At 34.8% G+C, this 14,021-nt stretch overlaps 3 annotated features.

Moving 5' to 3' along the window:
* Positions 3,849-4,478: a transcriptional cis regulatory region, noted in NCBI's record as "candidate enhancer chr6.3307 targeted for multiplex CRISPR interference". NCBI's record gives its function as "positively regulates RHAG gene expression with high confidence in K562 cells {active_cell/tissue: K562}" and the evidence as "EXISTENCE:mutant phenotype evidence [ECO:0000015][PMID:30612741]".
* Positions 4,094-4,238: an enhancer, noted in NCBI's record as "145 bp enhancer 217 fragment used in the MPRA reporter construct; PK_construct_4077". NCBI's record gives its function as "activates an SV40 promoter by MPRA in K562 cells {active_cell/tissue: K562}" and the evidence as "EXISTENCE:reporter gene assay evidence [ECO:0000049][PMID:23512712]".
* Positions 4,158-4,175: a transcriptional cis regulatory region, noted in NCBI's record as "GATA motif; MPRA enhancer 217 activity is reduced when this motif is scrambled". NCBI's record gives its function as "necessary for full MPRA enhancer 217 activity {active_cell/tissue: K562}" and the evidence as "EXISTENCE:site-directed mutagenesis evidence [ECO:0005528][PMID:23512712]".

The raw sequence follows: 14,021 nt of genomic DNA on the forward strand, positions 1-14,021 counted from the left end.
CTTTTTCTCAACTAGGAGAGATCTACATCATAGAGAACCTTTGTGTGTCTCCATTTAGATAGTCAATAGATAGTCCCAAACTTAGTCTTAATTACAGAACCCTAAAATTGATATGAATTTCAAACTTTGTAGACCGAGAAAAAATATATGTATGTACTTTTAAAATTGAGAATATTGAAACTACATCTTTTTTCTGTTGGGGACTGTTATATGTGTATAAGTATATTATATATAACATGTTACATATTTAAATGTAATTATATATGATTATATATAATTGTATGCACATATATATGTAGTTTATCTGCTGGAAAGAGATTCACTCTTTACCTCCACATGCATATTAAATGAACAAATGCCATCAACCAAAGATCAGGCACAAAGTGTTTTCAAATGTGATCATCACAACGTGTAAGTGTTGAGCTAGAGTTTACATTCTGTAAAGGCATCCCCTTTTTTGTGGGTTACTCTTCACTATTTACACTTCCAGAATTTTCAGAATGAGACAGCTTACCTGTAGCAAGGATGAACAGAGCCTTGAAAGTGTCAGGATTGTGCTGAAGGTAGTGTTTCATTAAGTACATGGCTAATATTTCCTTCTCTCTTTTCTTTCGTCTTGGTCTGGTATTGTTGAACTGAAGAAATGGGCCAGGCGTGGTGGCTCAAGGCTGTAATCCCAGCACTTTGGGAGGCCGAGGTGGGCGGATCACGTGGTCAGGAGAGGGAGACGAGATCAAGACCATTCTGGCCAACACGGTGAAGCCCCGTCTCTACTAAAAACACACAAATTAGCTGGGTGTGGTGGTGCATGCCTGTAGTCCCAGCTACTCAGGAGGCTGAGGCAGGAGAATCGCTTGAACCCAGGAGGTGGAGGTTGCAGTGAGCCGAGATTGTGCCACTGCACTCCAGCCTGGCGACAGAGTGAGACCCCGTCTCAAAAACAAAACAAAACAAAACAAAACAAAAAACAAAAAACAGAAATGGATCTTCTATAGACCATATGTGTTGCTTTCCTGCTTTGAAAATGGGGATAATTGCCTGACTACTCAGCTGATGATTTATATTACATGTAAAAAAAATTCGTGGTTTAAGAATTAGAATATCTAGACCACAGTTTTTACACAATTATTAATTACTTCATCTATTAGATTTGAGCATCTTGAGTTATTCACTTATTTCTGACTTGACTCATTGTGGAAAATAATGTTTTAATTTTAATTTTTCAAAACAACTTTATTGAGATATAATTCACACACCATACAATTCACCCATTTGAAGCATACAATTCAATGGTTTTTAGTACATCCACAGATATGTTTAAGCATCACCACAGTACATTTACAAAATTCTCATGTATTTATTAGGCATCCGTGTTTCTTTTATGAATTATGTGTTTGTAGATTTTGCCCGTTTGTCATCTTATTTTTTTTTCCCAACATTTATTTTAGGTTCAAGGGGTACATGTTCAGGGTTTTTACTAAGGATAAATTGCATGTCATGGGGGTTTGGTGTACAGATAATTTTGTCACCCAGGTAATCAGCATAGTACTTGATAGGTAGTTTTTCAGTCCTCACCCTCCTCCCACCCTCCACCCTCAAACAGATCTTGGTGTCTATTGTTCCCTTCTTTGTATCCAGGTGTACTCAATATTTAGCTCCCACTTACAAGTGAGAACATGTGGTATTTGGTTTTTGGTTCCTGTATTAATTCATTTAGGATAATGGCCTCCAGCTGCATCCACGTTGCTGCAAAGGACATGATTTTATTCCTTTTTACAGCTATGTGGTATTTCATGATGTATATGTACCACATTTTCTTTATGCAGTCCACCATTTATGGGCATCTAGGTTGATTCCATGTCTTTGCTATTACCACAGTCAATTTTAGACATTTTCATCACCTCAAAAAACTCCCATATTCTTTAGCAATTCCTACACCCTTTTCCTAGCCCTAAGCAACCACAAATCTACCCTTTCTCTATCGAGTCCCCTATTCTGGACTATCGTATGAGTGAAATCAAATAGTATGAGGTCTTTTGTGGTAGGTTTCTTTTACTTAGCATAATGTTTTCAAGATCTATCCATTTGTAGCACCTATCAGTACTTCTTTACTTTTCATGGCCAAATAATATTTCGTTATATGGCTATAACACATTTGTCTATTCATCCTTTTCTTGGCAGACATTAGGATTATTTTCAACTTTTGGCTATTATAAATAATGCTGATAGAAACATTCATGTATAAGTTTTTGTTGTAGACATATGTTTTCATTTTTCTCGAACATATAGTAAGTAGAATTGCTGGATCCTATGGTAACTTGAAAATTAATCATTTGAAGAACTGCCGACAATTTTCAAAAGTGACTTTTCTCTTTATCTTCTCACCCAAAGTGTATGATGGTTCTGATTTCTTCACCTCTTCACCAATATTTTTTTTAATTTTAATTCTAGCTATCCTGGTGGGTGTAAAGTGATGTGTTCTTGTGGTTTTGATCTTAATTTCCCTGACAACTAATGAAGACAAGCATCTTTTGTGTGCTTTTGTCCATTTGTATAGTATATCTTTCTTGACGAACTGTCTATTCAGATTCTTTGCTCTTTTTTAAAAAAGGATTATTGAATTGCACCAAACCATGTTCTCCTTAAGATTGTCACTAACTCATATACCATAAAGTAAATCTCTTAAACTGTCTTTTTCACTATTTTTCTCATCGTTAATGTGGCAGTGAGGATTCTTGCTTTGTCCACCTGAAACAGTTGTTGTAAGATTAGGTGAGAGAGTGTATATAAAGGCACTTTATACATTTTAAAGAGATAAAAAAAACTAAGTTATTAAAGAGAAATACGGTGATAATAGATGGGGCAGTGTTTTGGATTAAAATTAAAGCCTTTGTATAAGTACGATGAATTGTGAAAATGAAGAAATACTATTTAGGCAATAAAGTCATCAAAATTGGTTATAGCTCATCAACTTTAGGAATCAAGCCAGGCACGGTGGCTCACTCCATAATCCTAACACTTTGAGAGGTTGAGGTGAGAGGATTGCTTGAGCCCAGGAATTCAAGACCAGACTGGGCAACATAGTGAGACCCTATCTCTAAAAAAATACAAAGAAAAACAAAAAAGTGGTGGCACACACTTGTGTTACTTAGGAGGCTGAGGTGAGGACCAATTGGGCCTGGGAGGTGGAGGCTGCAGTCGGCTGTGATTATGCCACTGCACTCCAACCTGGGCAACAGAATGAGACTCTGTCTCAAAAACCAATCAAATAAACAACACGAACAACTGCAAAACCCACAAAAAACCAAAACATTAGCAATCAGACAACATTTTTAAATGTTTTATTTTGAATAATTTTAGATTTACAAATGAATTGCAAAGATAACAGAGAGTCTCTTATTGCCCTATGTTCACTTTCCTGTAATGCTAACATCTAACATAATCATAGTATAATGATAAAAATCAGGAGATTAACATTGTTATAATACTATTAACTAAACACCAGACTTTTCACTAGAATCCTTTTTCTGTTCCAGAGTGCAATCCTGGGTCCTACACTGCATTTAGTCACCACAATTTCTTAGTCTCCTATATTTTATGACAGTTCCTCAGTCTTTCCTTGTCTTTCAGAATCTTGACTCTTTTGAAGAGTACTAGTCAGATATATTGTAGAATATTCTTTAGTTGGGGTTTGCTGATATTTTCTCATAATTGGACTGGGGTTATACATTTTTGGGTTGATGATTACAGAGGTGGAATGCCCTTCTCATCACATCCTATCGGGGGTACTTAATATAAATATGCATTACTATTGGTGACATCAATCTTCGTTACTTGGTCAAGGTAGACAAGAGTTTTAATTTTGAAATATTCTCTCTACACAGCCTTGCCAAGAGAGGATTTTGTCCCAAATATATATTCCTAATTTTACTAATAATAAATGACTGTGGTAACCACTACGCAAAATAAAATAAAGAACAAAAGAGAAGAAGGAGCTAGAGAAGGGGTAGGTGGTGGAGGAGGAGAGCGGGGGACAGAAACCTGTGTGTGGGTTCCAGAGAGACCCCGCCTGATTAGTGTCCTGGCAGTTGGGCCCATGGGAGTACACAGCTTAAGTGAAGGGGAAGTCACATAAGTCAGACATGGTCTTGAGCAAGCTGCTTTTCAAAGATAAGGTTGGAATTGAAGAGCTTCCCAGAAAATATGACAGATCTTTATTTCTTTTTTTTTTTTCAGAACTTGGTCTCATTCCCCACTATAGTTTATCAGCATGCCTCAGCTTGCTGAGCCTTAGGCACAGATGTGTCTTCAGAGTAAGCATTTGGTGGCATTTTTAACCTACTGGCATCTGATACCTGCCAGACTCTTTACCCATGCTAACTATAATCCTTAAAACAGTGCAGCAAGATAGGGCTTTTTATTTTTTTCTCTTATTGTCATTATACAAATGGGAAAACTAAGACATGAAATGGCTGTTGAAGTCTAATGCCATTTAGAAAATTCCAGTATCCACATTAAAATGAAAGTCAGTCAGTCTGACTCTAAAACTGTCATTCTTTTTCTTCAGCTAAATTGGTTTTAGTGCTTTTCTACTGTCTTTCAGGTATTACTTACATCCTAGAAAAACTGCTTCTCCTAATAGAAATATAAATAATTACATATATTCATAGTTTTTAGATGATAAAATCTAAAGTTTTTTTAACTTATTCATACTGTACAGAACTACGTAAAGTAAGTGTGAATGTCCATCCATTCACTCTTATGCTCCTGGCGATAGTTTGATATTCATCTTTCTGGTCTCCCTCTAAACATTTATACATAAATATGTTCTCATATACGTATTTCTGATTTTATAATATCAATGTTATAATACTTCAAAAGCTTCACCACGTGTCTTGGAATATCAGTTTTACCTTTTTAGTTTTAAAGGTGGTAAACATATTTCATGGTATAGATGGGTCACTTGTATGGATATTTTGATAGATCAATAAAGGTTTTTATTAGAGGATTACAACCATGCATGCTGAATCTTCAGGGATTATAACAAGCAGGGAAGGGAGATGTTTAGGAGTATTTTGGAGCCTTCAGTATAGATCAATGCTTAGAGCCTCAGACCTTGAATCCAGACTGCCTAGTTTCCTATCCTAACTACAGTGTTGACTTGATGTGTGAATCTGGGCAAGTAACAAATTCTGTAATTGGTTTTATTCTCTAAAACATACAAATAATAATGACTTTGCAAAGTCATAATGAAGTCACAGTAAGGATCATAATGTTACTGAGTAAAAAATTACAAACAAAGCCTGAGACACAGTAGGGACACAGTAAGTGCAATATTACTTTTATTTTGTCATTTTTGGCTACCCACATCCAAGACTCTATTTTGAAGGAATTTTAAAATAAGAGCCTTGTTTCCTACTGTTGAGTCTCACATTGGGGCAGATATTTCCAATCCTTGTCCTCAGCCATTTGCCAGGTTAAAGTCTATGACTTCGGCTTGATCAGTTGGATTCTCATATCTAGAACTTAGAGAATTTCGAAGGCAGTTATGCAGAATGCATGGGAATTGAAAACTTGGGGCATGTTTGTGACAGCAGTAGTGGCATTTTTATAAACTAGAATATTCTTATGGTATTATTTGCTTGTGACATCAGCTTGCTTTGGTAGGATTTGTTTCTTGACTTTGGGTTTCAAGGCTGAAGTCGATTTTGTGAGCTTCCTGGTACCCTCCCCAAAAATGCCATTTTCTCCATAGATATTTCATTTCTGCAGTTTGTAACTAAGAAGCTTGGTGATTCAGTATCATCTCTGTACCCCCTGTAATCTCATTATTCACTCAAAACATTTATTGAGGACTTCCTCTGTATTGGAAAAAAAGCTGCAGTATATGATGTTGCTCCTCCTTAACAAATTCAGAGAGGTTGAATTTGGGTGTTTTTGCAAGTCAGAATCAAGAGATTGTTTATCTATAAACACACACTTCTGGAGAAAATAAAGTCATGTTAAGCTAAACAAAAAATTTTGTCTGTTGATGTTTTTTAAGTTTTTTGAATTCAGTAATTTTGTTTCACAATCATTTTGCATGTAGGAAAAGCAAATTAGCAGGTATTATCCAGGTGTAATAACTGCAATTTCTGGTTTTGATTGAATTTCTGTGGAGACTCCCTGTCAAATTGGCATTGGATTATTCTTATGGCTAGAAGAGTCTGTCAATTTACAGTGGCTTCTGCTGACACAATGCATCAGCTTAAGACTCTTTCCCTTTTATCTGACTCAAACCCAACTTCTCAACTACTGAAAGGAAACCTCAGGTTTTATGTGAAAAAGTGATATTAATTTATCCATTATGCATCCTCTACTTTTTGCTCATAAAGATCACTTCCTTTAGAGTTTTTGTGGTCCATTTAATGCTTCCCTGTACAGTTATTATAAAGTAGATTTTATCCATGTTCAAATATTTGAATGAAAGAAGTCAACACAATGGTTGACTTGCTCTGGTTCCCACAGTCTGTAGAACTGGCTCTAATCACAGGGTGAAAATTATACCAGTGATCAATTTGATTATAATTTTTTGGTGGTAGGATTATGGATAATAATAAATGTGATTCTTATATTTTTATATTTTCAAATTTTCTTAAACTTAGATGCATTATTTTTATATTAATGAAGACATAAACATTTAAAAACATTGATATATTAGAGGAACCAGTAGGGATATAAAAAGAAGCTAAAATTTTTGCAAACTCTAACTCAAAAGGACGTTTTATTTCTCATTGGTGATAAAAATGAAAGGCCTTGGAACTAAAATCATGAAGTCACATAAAAATACTTAAAGATCTTTATGTGCCTTCTTTAGCCCAGGGATGTGCCTAACTTTGAAACAGCTCCATGGCTTGCAGTACACCTTAATTCATCATCTATTTAACAGTGTACCTATTATACCTGTAGACAAACACAGGAAGTTACTCTTTAATATTTAGGCTTGTGAATACATAACATATTGTGTTTCTTGAACTGGGAGAAAACAGATTGTTTTAAGTTAATGAGTACATTTATGGCAGACCCCTTTAGATGTAAGTCACCATGTGACTGAATCATCATTAATACAACAATGGATGATAATGGCTGTTATTTAGACGAATGGAATATCAGCAAAATAGATGACATTTTTTTTTTATTTTAAGCAAATAAATCTCTATATCTGGCTTTTAGCTAGTATGAAAGAGAGAGTCAACTACTTGGAAAAGAAATACAAGGGCCACGTGAAATAGTGAAATGTTTCTGGACAATTTGTAAGTTGAATAAGAATCAGGGAGCACAGATTTACTAAACAAAAACTGCTCTTGCTTATATGTACCATTGATTAATATTTTAAAAGTCCATTTGTCAGATCTATAACTAGCAAATAGTTATTTATGAGTTTATCTTTTCCCCATCAAGGTCTACAGTTATCCTCAATTTAAGTTGAAAACGAGAGGCTAAATATATTGTTTTGTTTCCTAACAACAACAACAGCAACAACAACAACAACAAAAACAACAACAGAGAATCAGAATGGAAACATCAGAATTCTTCATCCTTTGACTGCGTCAGGTTCCTACCAAGTTTAATTTATTCAAGCTACCAGAAAACTTAAAAGTTAAAGAAAATCAAATTCATTATTTAAGAGAACTATCAAAAAGGTAAATACATTATTATTTTAAAATTATATTGGTTTATATCTACAACCATATTGACCTTTTTGCCCAAATTGGCTGATTAATTTAAACAAACCAGTAATTTACTCAGAATTTAATCTGCTGAACTCAATTTACTAAACCAGTTGAAAAGATCAACATAATTATAATCTGTGACTCACTGTTTTTACCCACAAGCCCAGCTAACAGAGAGATAGCAGCATTGGGAGGCAGGGATTACGGGAGAAGAAATTGCTTTCAGTAACATGTAAGAAAGAAAGAAAGAAAAGAAAGATAAAAAGAGAGGAAAAAAAAAAGAAAGAGAGGGAGAAAAGAGGAAGGAAAACCAGCTGTTGTGGGTTAAATTGTGCCTCTGTATCCACCCCTTAAGGTAGGTTATTTTAAAGTTGAGAAAGTTTAACTTAAAATTAAGGAAATTTGGGTGATACGTATGCATTTTCCAGAAAAGATATTCAGTCTTTTGGGAAAAGTAAATAACTTAGGAAATGTTCAAGTATAGAAAGGTTATGCAAAAATACACAATGTTTGGCATGGATTGTATGAGAAATCTTTCCTCCTTTTCATATTTCCTTCCTGTGGGATTTATATGCCATCATCCTACAAGAAGAGAACTGTTGTATGTTCCTTTTATCAAAAAATTTGGAAACATCAATACGATGATAATGATGGGGTAAGAAACCAGGAAGAAGATAGACATGATCAATAAGAAGGTAGAGACACTAAGTGCACACTCTTTTAAATGGCAATGAAAATAAAGAGAATAATGGAATATTAGAATCTTAGCATATTTGTAGGAGGAGAGGAAAATTTTCCAAAAGGAAGATACTGAGAGTAGGAGCTGCTGGGGTGCTTATTGATGGCTTATAGTCCTAATGTGATCAAGAGATAAAGGTAGAGAATAATCTTTGAAAAGGTGCAAGACAGTGGTCTATTACTCAAAGTAAGCAAGGCAGGAGAAAGAGATGAATTAAGTTATTAAAACATTTGAAGCTGCAGAAAAAAAAGAGACGGTTTAAAACCTTAGTTTCATGGTTGTTTTTAAACTTTTGAACACATGATAATTTAATCTTCTGAAAGCTGATATTCTGTCAAGGTGGGGGACTTGAGAGGAAAGGCAAGGTGACTTTTGGATAATGCCACATAATATTCACAGACAAAACAGTAGTGTTCTTTTACTATTCTGGATGATATCAAATGTTGGGACAAGGCTTTTTTTGGTATTGCTTGACTCCTGGATGTGTGTGAAATCAATGAAGAGTTACACATCCTCCTCCAAAAAGGCCTTTTTTCAAGGCTTTGTTAGTGATCTGCAGCATACAGTCCGTTGGAGACTGCCATCACTTACGGTCAAGTTGTCTTTCAACTGATGAACTGTTTGCCATCTTACATGTATCTGCTGTACTCTGAACTGATATAGCAGCTTGAGAACTCCAAACCTTACAGAAACACATAAATGTATTGCATAATACATTATATACTGGATAAATTATGAACACTCCTGAAAAATGCCACTCTCTTAACTTACTCCAGACTTCCCTCTCTCAGGAATAATTGTTTATTCTTCACATTCCAACCATGTTCTATTCTCTTAAATACTGTTTTTCCCCTTTACAAGTCTTGTGTTCAGCAACTTCTGCTCCTTAACACTTTAAGCCAAAAATTATTAAGTATTATAATGAGCTCCTCAAAATCTAGATCTTCTCTACCTAGTCAAATCATTATACATACCTTAAGTATGCTCTTCACAATTAAGCTAGGCCAGAGTCACTTCTTTTTTCCGGTGACTTTTGTTTTGGATTTAAATCTTTACTTGTACTGTCTAAGAGGGCCATCACTGTCCTCTCAAAAAACTATCTTCCATCTATTTATCATTGTCCCCACTCAATTTTTCTCCTCTGCAACAGCTTTCCTAATTACAGTCTGTTCTCTGTATCTGTGGGCTTGGCATTTGTGGATTTGAAAATATTAAGAAAAAATTCCATGTTGAATCTATGCAAATGAAATGAAGTGTAGGCATTGTATTAGATATTACAAGCACTCTAGCAATCATTTAAAGTTTATGGGAGGATGTGCATACGTTAATTACAAATACTAGGTTATTTTACATAAGAACTTGAGCATCTGCAAATTTTGGTGCCTGCATGGGTCCTGGAACAAATCCCCATAGCCACCAAGGGATGGCTGTGCTTCATTCCCCATCCCCTTCAATGACTTACTACACCCTTACCCCTTTTATATTTTCCTTCAATTTTAACATTTAATCATAATAATCATAATCACTTGATATAGTTAATTATTTTGTGTATATATATAGTGTTCCAACTCAGTTTAAAGCCTTTGAGAGGCAGAATATGTGCTAAGCATTTATCTTGCTCACGTTGAACTAGATAATAAGTATAGCATTCCAAGGAATGCTAAAACATTTTTGCATTTCTCAGCACTATTGCTTACACCAATCCAGACACAGGTGGGAAAATTTGTAAAATTAGGCTAGGCCAGAGATTTTTTAACCTTTTTTGTGTCATAAAGCCTTTTGAGAATCTAATGAAAAGTTTAATTGCTTTTCATGAGAAATTGTCAAACATTCATATCTGCAGTATTTTGCATGCACTGTCAAAGGATTCATGAATCTTTCAGAGTAACCTTCCCATGAACTTCAGCATAAAAACCTCTGAAACAGAGCATAAGTTCTTGACTTAATAATCTTCACAATTTTATCTATATTTTGTCTATTCAGATATGACAATTTTCTCTATATTTTATCTATTCAGATATGAATCATAGAACTTGCTTTGATGCAAGATTGTCTCAGATCTAGTTTTCAGAGACTTTTAAATACCACTCATGAATAATTATTTAATAACATTGATTATGAAAAACACTTCTCCTTGTAGGAACGCTACAGACTGTAGATGCCTTGGGACATTGCCCATTCATAAAAGGTTGCCTGAGGAAACTGTTTTTCAAGGTGAAGTGACAACCAGTGCCATGTGAGATTAAAGTTTAAGAATAATATGATAATTTATTGAGCATTTATAACTCTGTTAGCTGATAAGCACTTTTCCTGTATTCTTTCACTGAATCCTCCCAAACACTTGATATAATAGGCATTATTTTACTCTTTTCTTAAATAAAGAAACTCAAGGCCCAAGAAACTAAGGAACTTGACCTAAGTCACAGTGCTAGTAAACGCTGGAATTAGAATTTGAGCTCATTGAATAGTCTCTGGAGCCTCTTCCCATAATCATGATGCTATATTACCACTCTGATTTTGAATGACTCCACACTCAGAGAACATGTCTTTGGACAGAAAGTGCACTTTCCTTTACGCACCCCTTTCCTTTTGACCATCTTTTATTCTGGAACCAAATATACAGGAAATTTTGGCATAACCATTGTATCTTGAGTACCATGAAATGCAATTCTATTTGTTTAGGCAGAAGACATTTTTTCCTTAATCCAGCTCTAGCTACAATCGTTTACAGCCCTCAACTTAATCAATATTTATAGAATAGCACTGTTATTCCTATACTCAAACAGTTTTTTGCCATTGTGAAAGAAGGAAGAAGACCAGCAACTTATCTCAGGACTCTTGAAAGTTTGTCAGTGCCCTTTAGTACCAAGTATACCTTTCATTTTAAAAGCGCTTTGTAGTTTTCCTTTTCTCTTGTGCAATTCTGTGCAGGGAATTTTACTGACTCTTATTTCAAAAAGGAAAAAGGTAATGGGTAATTGAAAGGGCAAAGACTTCTGGCTCTAAATTTAGCATTCTCTGTATTTTATTCAGTATTACCATTCTTGCAGGCTTTGAAAGTTATGAGATAGTCCCAAGCTCTTGATAGAGTAAAGCAGTAGGTAAATAGCTGTCTTTAAATATATTATAAGATTTTGAGATATTCAGTGAGTTATTTCCGTGCCCAGCTTTGGTTTTAAAATTAACAGCCATTAAGTCTTCAAAAAAAATAAGTTTAGGTCATCATGATTCAATACATTTTTAGATAACCTATTCTCTAAAAGTAATCTTCCTTCTTTTCTTCTTTCCTCCCTTCCTTCCTTCCTTCTTCCTTCTTCCTTCTTCCCTCCCTCCCTCCCTTCCCTTCCCTTCCCTTCTCCCCTCCCCTCCCCTCCCCTCCGCTCCCCTTCCCTTCCCTTCTCTTCTCCTCTCTTCCCTTCTTTTTTCTCTTTTCTTTTCCTTTCCTTTCCTTTCTTTTTTCTTTTCTATCTTTCTTTCTTCTTTCTCTCTCTCTGTCTATTTTCACCACATTCAATTCCTTTCTTCTTCTTCTTTTTCTTTTGTAGTGAGAATACTTAAGGTCTACCCTATTAGCAAAATTCAAGCATACAACACAGCATGGTTGATTATAGTTACCATGCTATATATTAGATCTCCAGAACTTACTCATTTTGCTTAACTGATACTTTGTACCTTAAAACAACATCTCCCAGATTTTTCCTCCTTCTCTCCCTTGGCAACTACCATTCTACTCTCTGCTTTTATGGCATTGACTATTGTAGATTCCACATGTAAGTGAAATTATCCAGTATTTCTCTTTCTGTGTCTGGCTTTTTTCATTTAACATAATGTCCTCCACATTGATCCATGTTGTCACAAATGGCAGGATTACCTTAAACCGAATGATATTCCATTGGGTTTATATTCCACATTTTATAAAACTGACAATTTTAAATTATCAAGTAAGTAAATAAGAACATCATTGCTAGAAAGGAGGCAGAAAGCCAGGGATGTAAAATTACTCCTTTCAGGTAGAATTTCTGAATACTTGGTTTAAAATCTAGTACTAAAGTATAGTACTAGATTTAAATCTATACTTTACTACTAGATTTAACTAGTTTCATAGTACTCTGTATACATATGTGTGTGTGTTGCATATATTTTGTGTATATATAGGCCATATGTATTTTGCTTGCTATTTTAAAATATCAATTTGTACATTTTCATCCTTTCTTTCTTGACAGCTTTCTTCTTCTTTCTCTTCACAGATTAATAAAGTATGCTGTAAAAATTAGGAGATGACAAGACATTTATAGGGGCTTCCCACACATTCAGGGGGCTTTGTGAAGAGACAGTTTCAATCTGTTTTTCTGTGTTATATTCATAGATCCTGCCTGTTGCATGGAGTAATGAAGAACAGAGAACACACATAGCAGCAGATGGAGTAGAGACATCCTTAAAAGAGGGGGAAAAACCCGGTTTTTAACAATTGCAATTATTTTGCACCTCTCCCAGAGTGACTGGTTTGTCATCTCCCAGGAACAAGCAGCGACAATAGCCTTCCTCCTTGCAGAGCCTCTGTCACTCAGTTTAACCCCACAAATGACCTCACAAACAACTCATCTCATTATTCTTCTCTAATGAGAAGTACACTGATGATGATGATCATCATCATCATTTTGATGTCAGTCTAGTACTTACCTCTTCTTAGATACAAACACTAAAAGTAATAATCCTTCACAACTTATAACTTTTTTTTCAGCATTTGAGTCTCACGATCTTATTAAACTATTATCTCAGTTTTGCTAAGTACGGTGTTTCCCAAAGTATGATCTATAGAGAACCTACATCAGCAACATTTGGGATGCTCGTTAAAGTACAGATTCCTAGATCTTACATAATTAACATTTCTGAAGATGACAAACATGAATTTTAAACAAATTCCTCACATAATCTTTATTCATACTCACGATTGATAGCTACTAGAACAGTACATTCAGATCTCAATGTGCTTACATCCTCCCATGGCTTCTCCCTCAACCATGAGAATAAATTTATTATATGTAATTTGCAGCGATAAATCCACAATACACCTGGGTATGTTTTGGATTGTTAGAAGTTCTGAAGCACACTCTTTCTCATCTAGGTTTTGTTTTCTTAATTTAATTTGTTTTCCAAGTCAATATATTTTTCCTAACTAAATTTCTTGAACTTTAGCCATGTGCTAGAAAGTTTTTTGAAATAAATTGTATTCTCCATTCTGGCAAACAATGGCACTGTATTTCTGTGTTTCTGGAAGAAGACAGAAAATTATTTGAGGGACTATTTTCTCTATTCTCTTATCTTAGATGCATAAAAGTGAGGTTACTTTATTATGTATGATGAATGCCTTAAGGCAGCGGTTTTCAAACTTTTTGGTTTCAGAACCTTTTTATACTTTTAAAAATTAGTGAGGATTCAAAGAGCTTTAGCTTACATGGCTTACAGCCATCAATATTTACCCTATTAGAGCTTAAAATAATTCTATTACCTATTTCCATATTGTAAAACTCATTAAAATTTATGTTATTCTCAGAACAGATCAGAAAGAC

Source organism: Homo sapiens, chromosome 6 (assembly GCF_000001405.40).
Source record: "Homo sapiens chromosome 6, GRCh38.p14 Primary Assembly".
NCBI classification, from domain to species: Eukaryota; Metazoa; Chordata; class Mammalia; order Primates; family Hominidae; genus Homo; species Homo sapiens.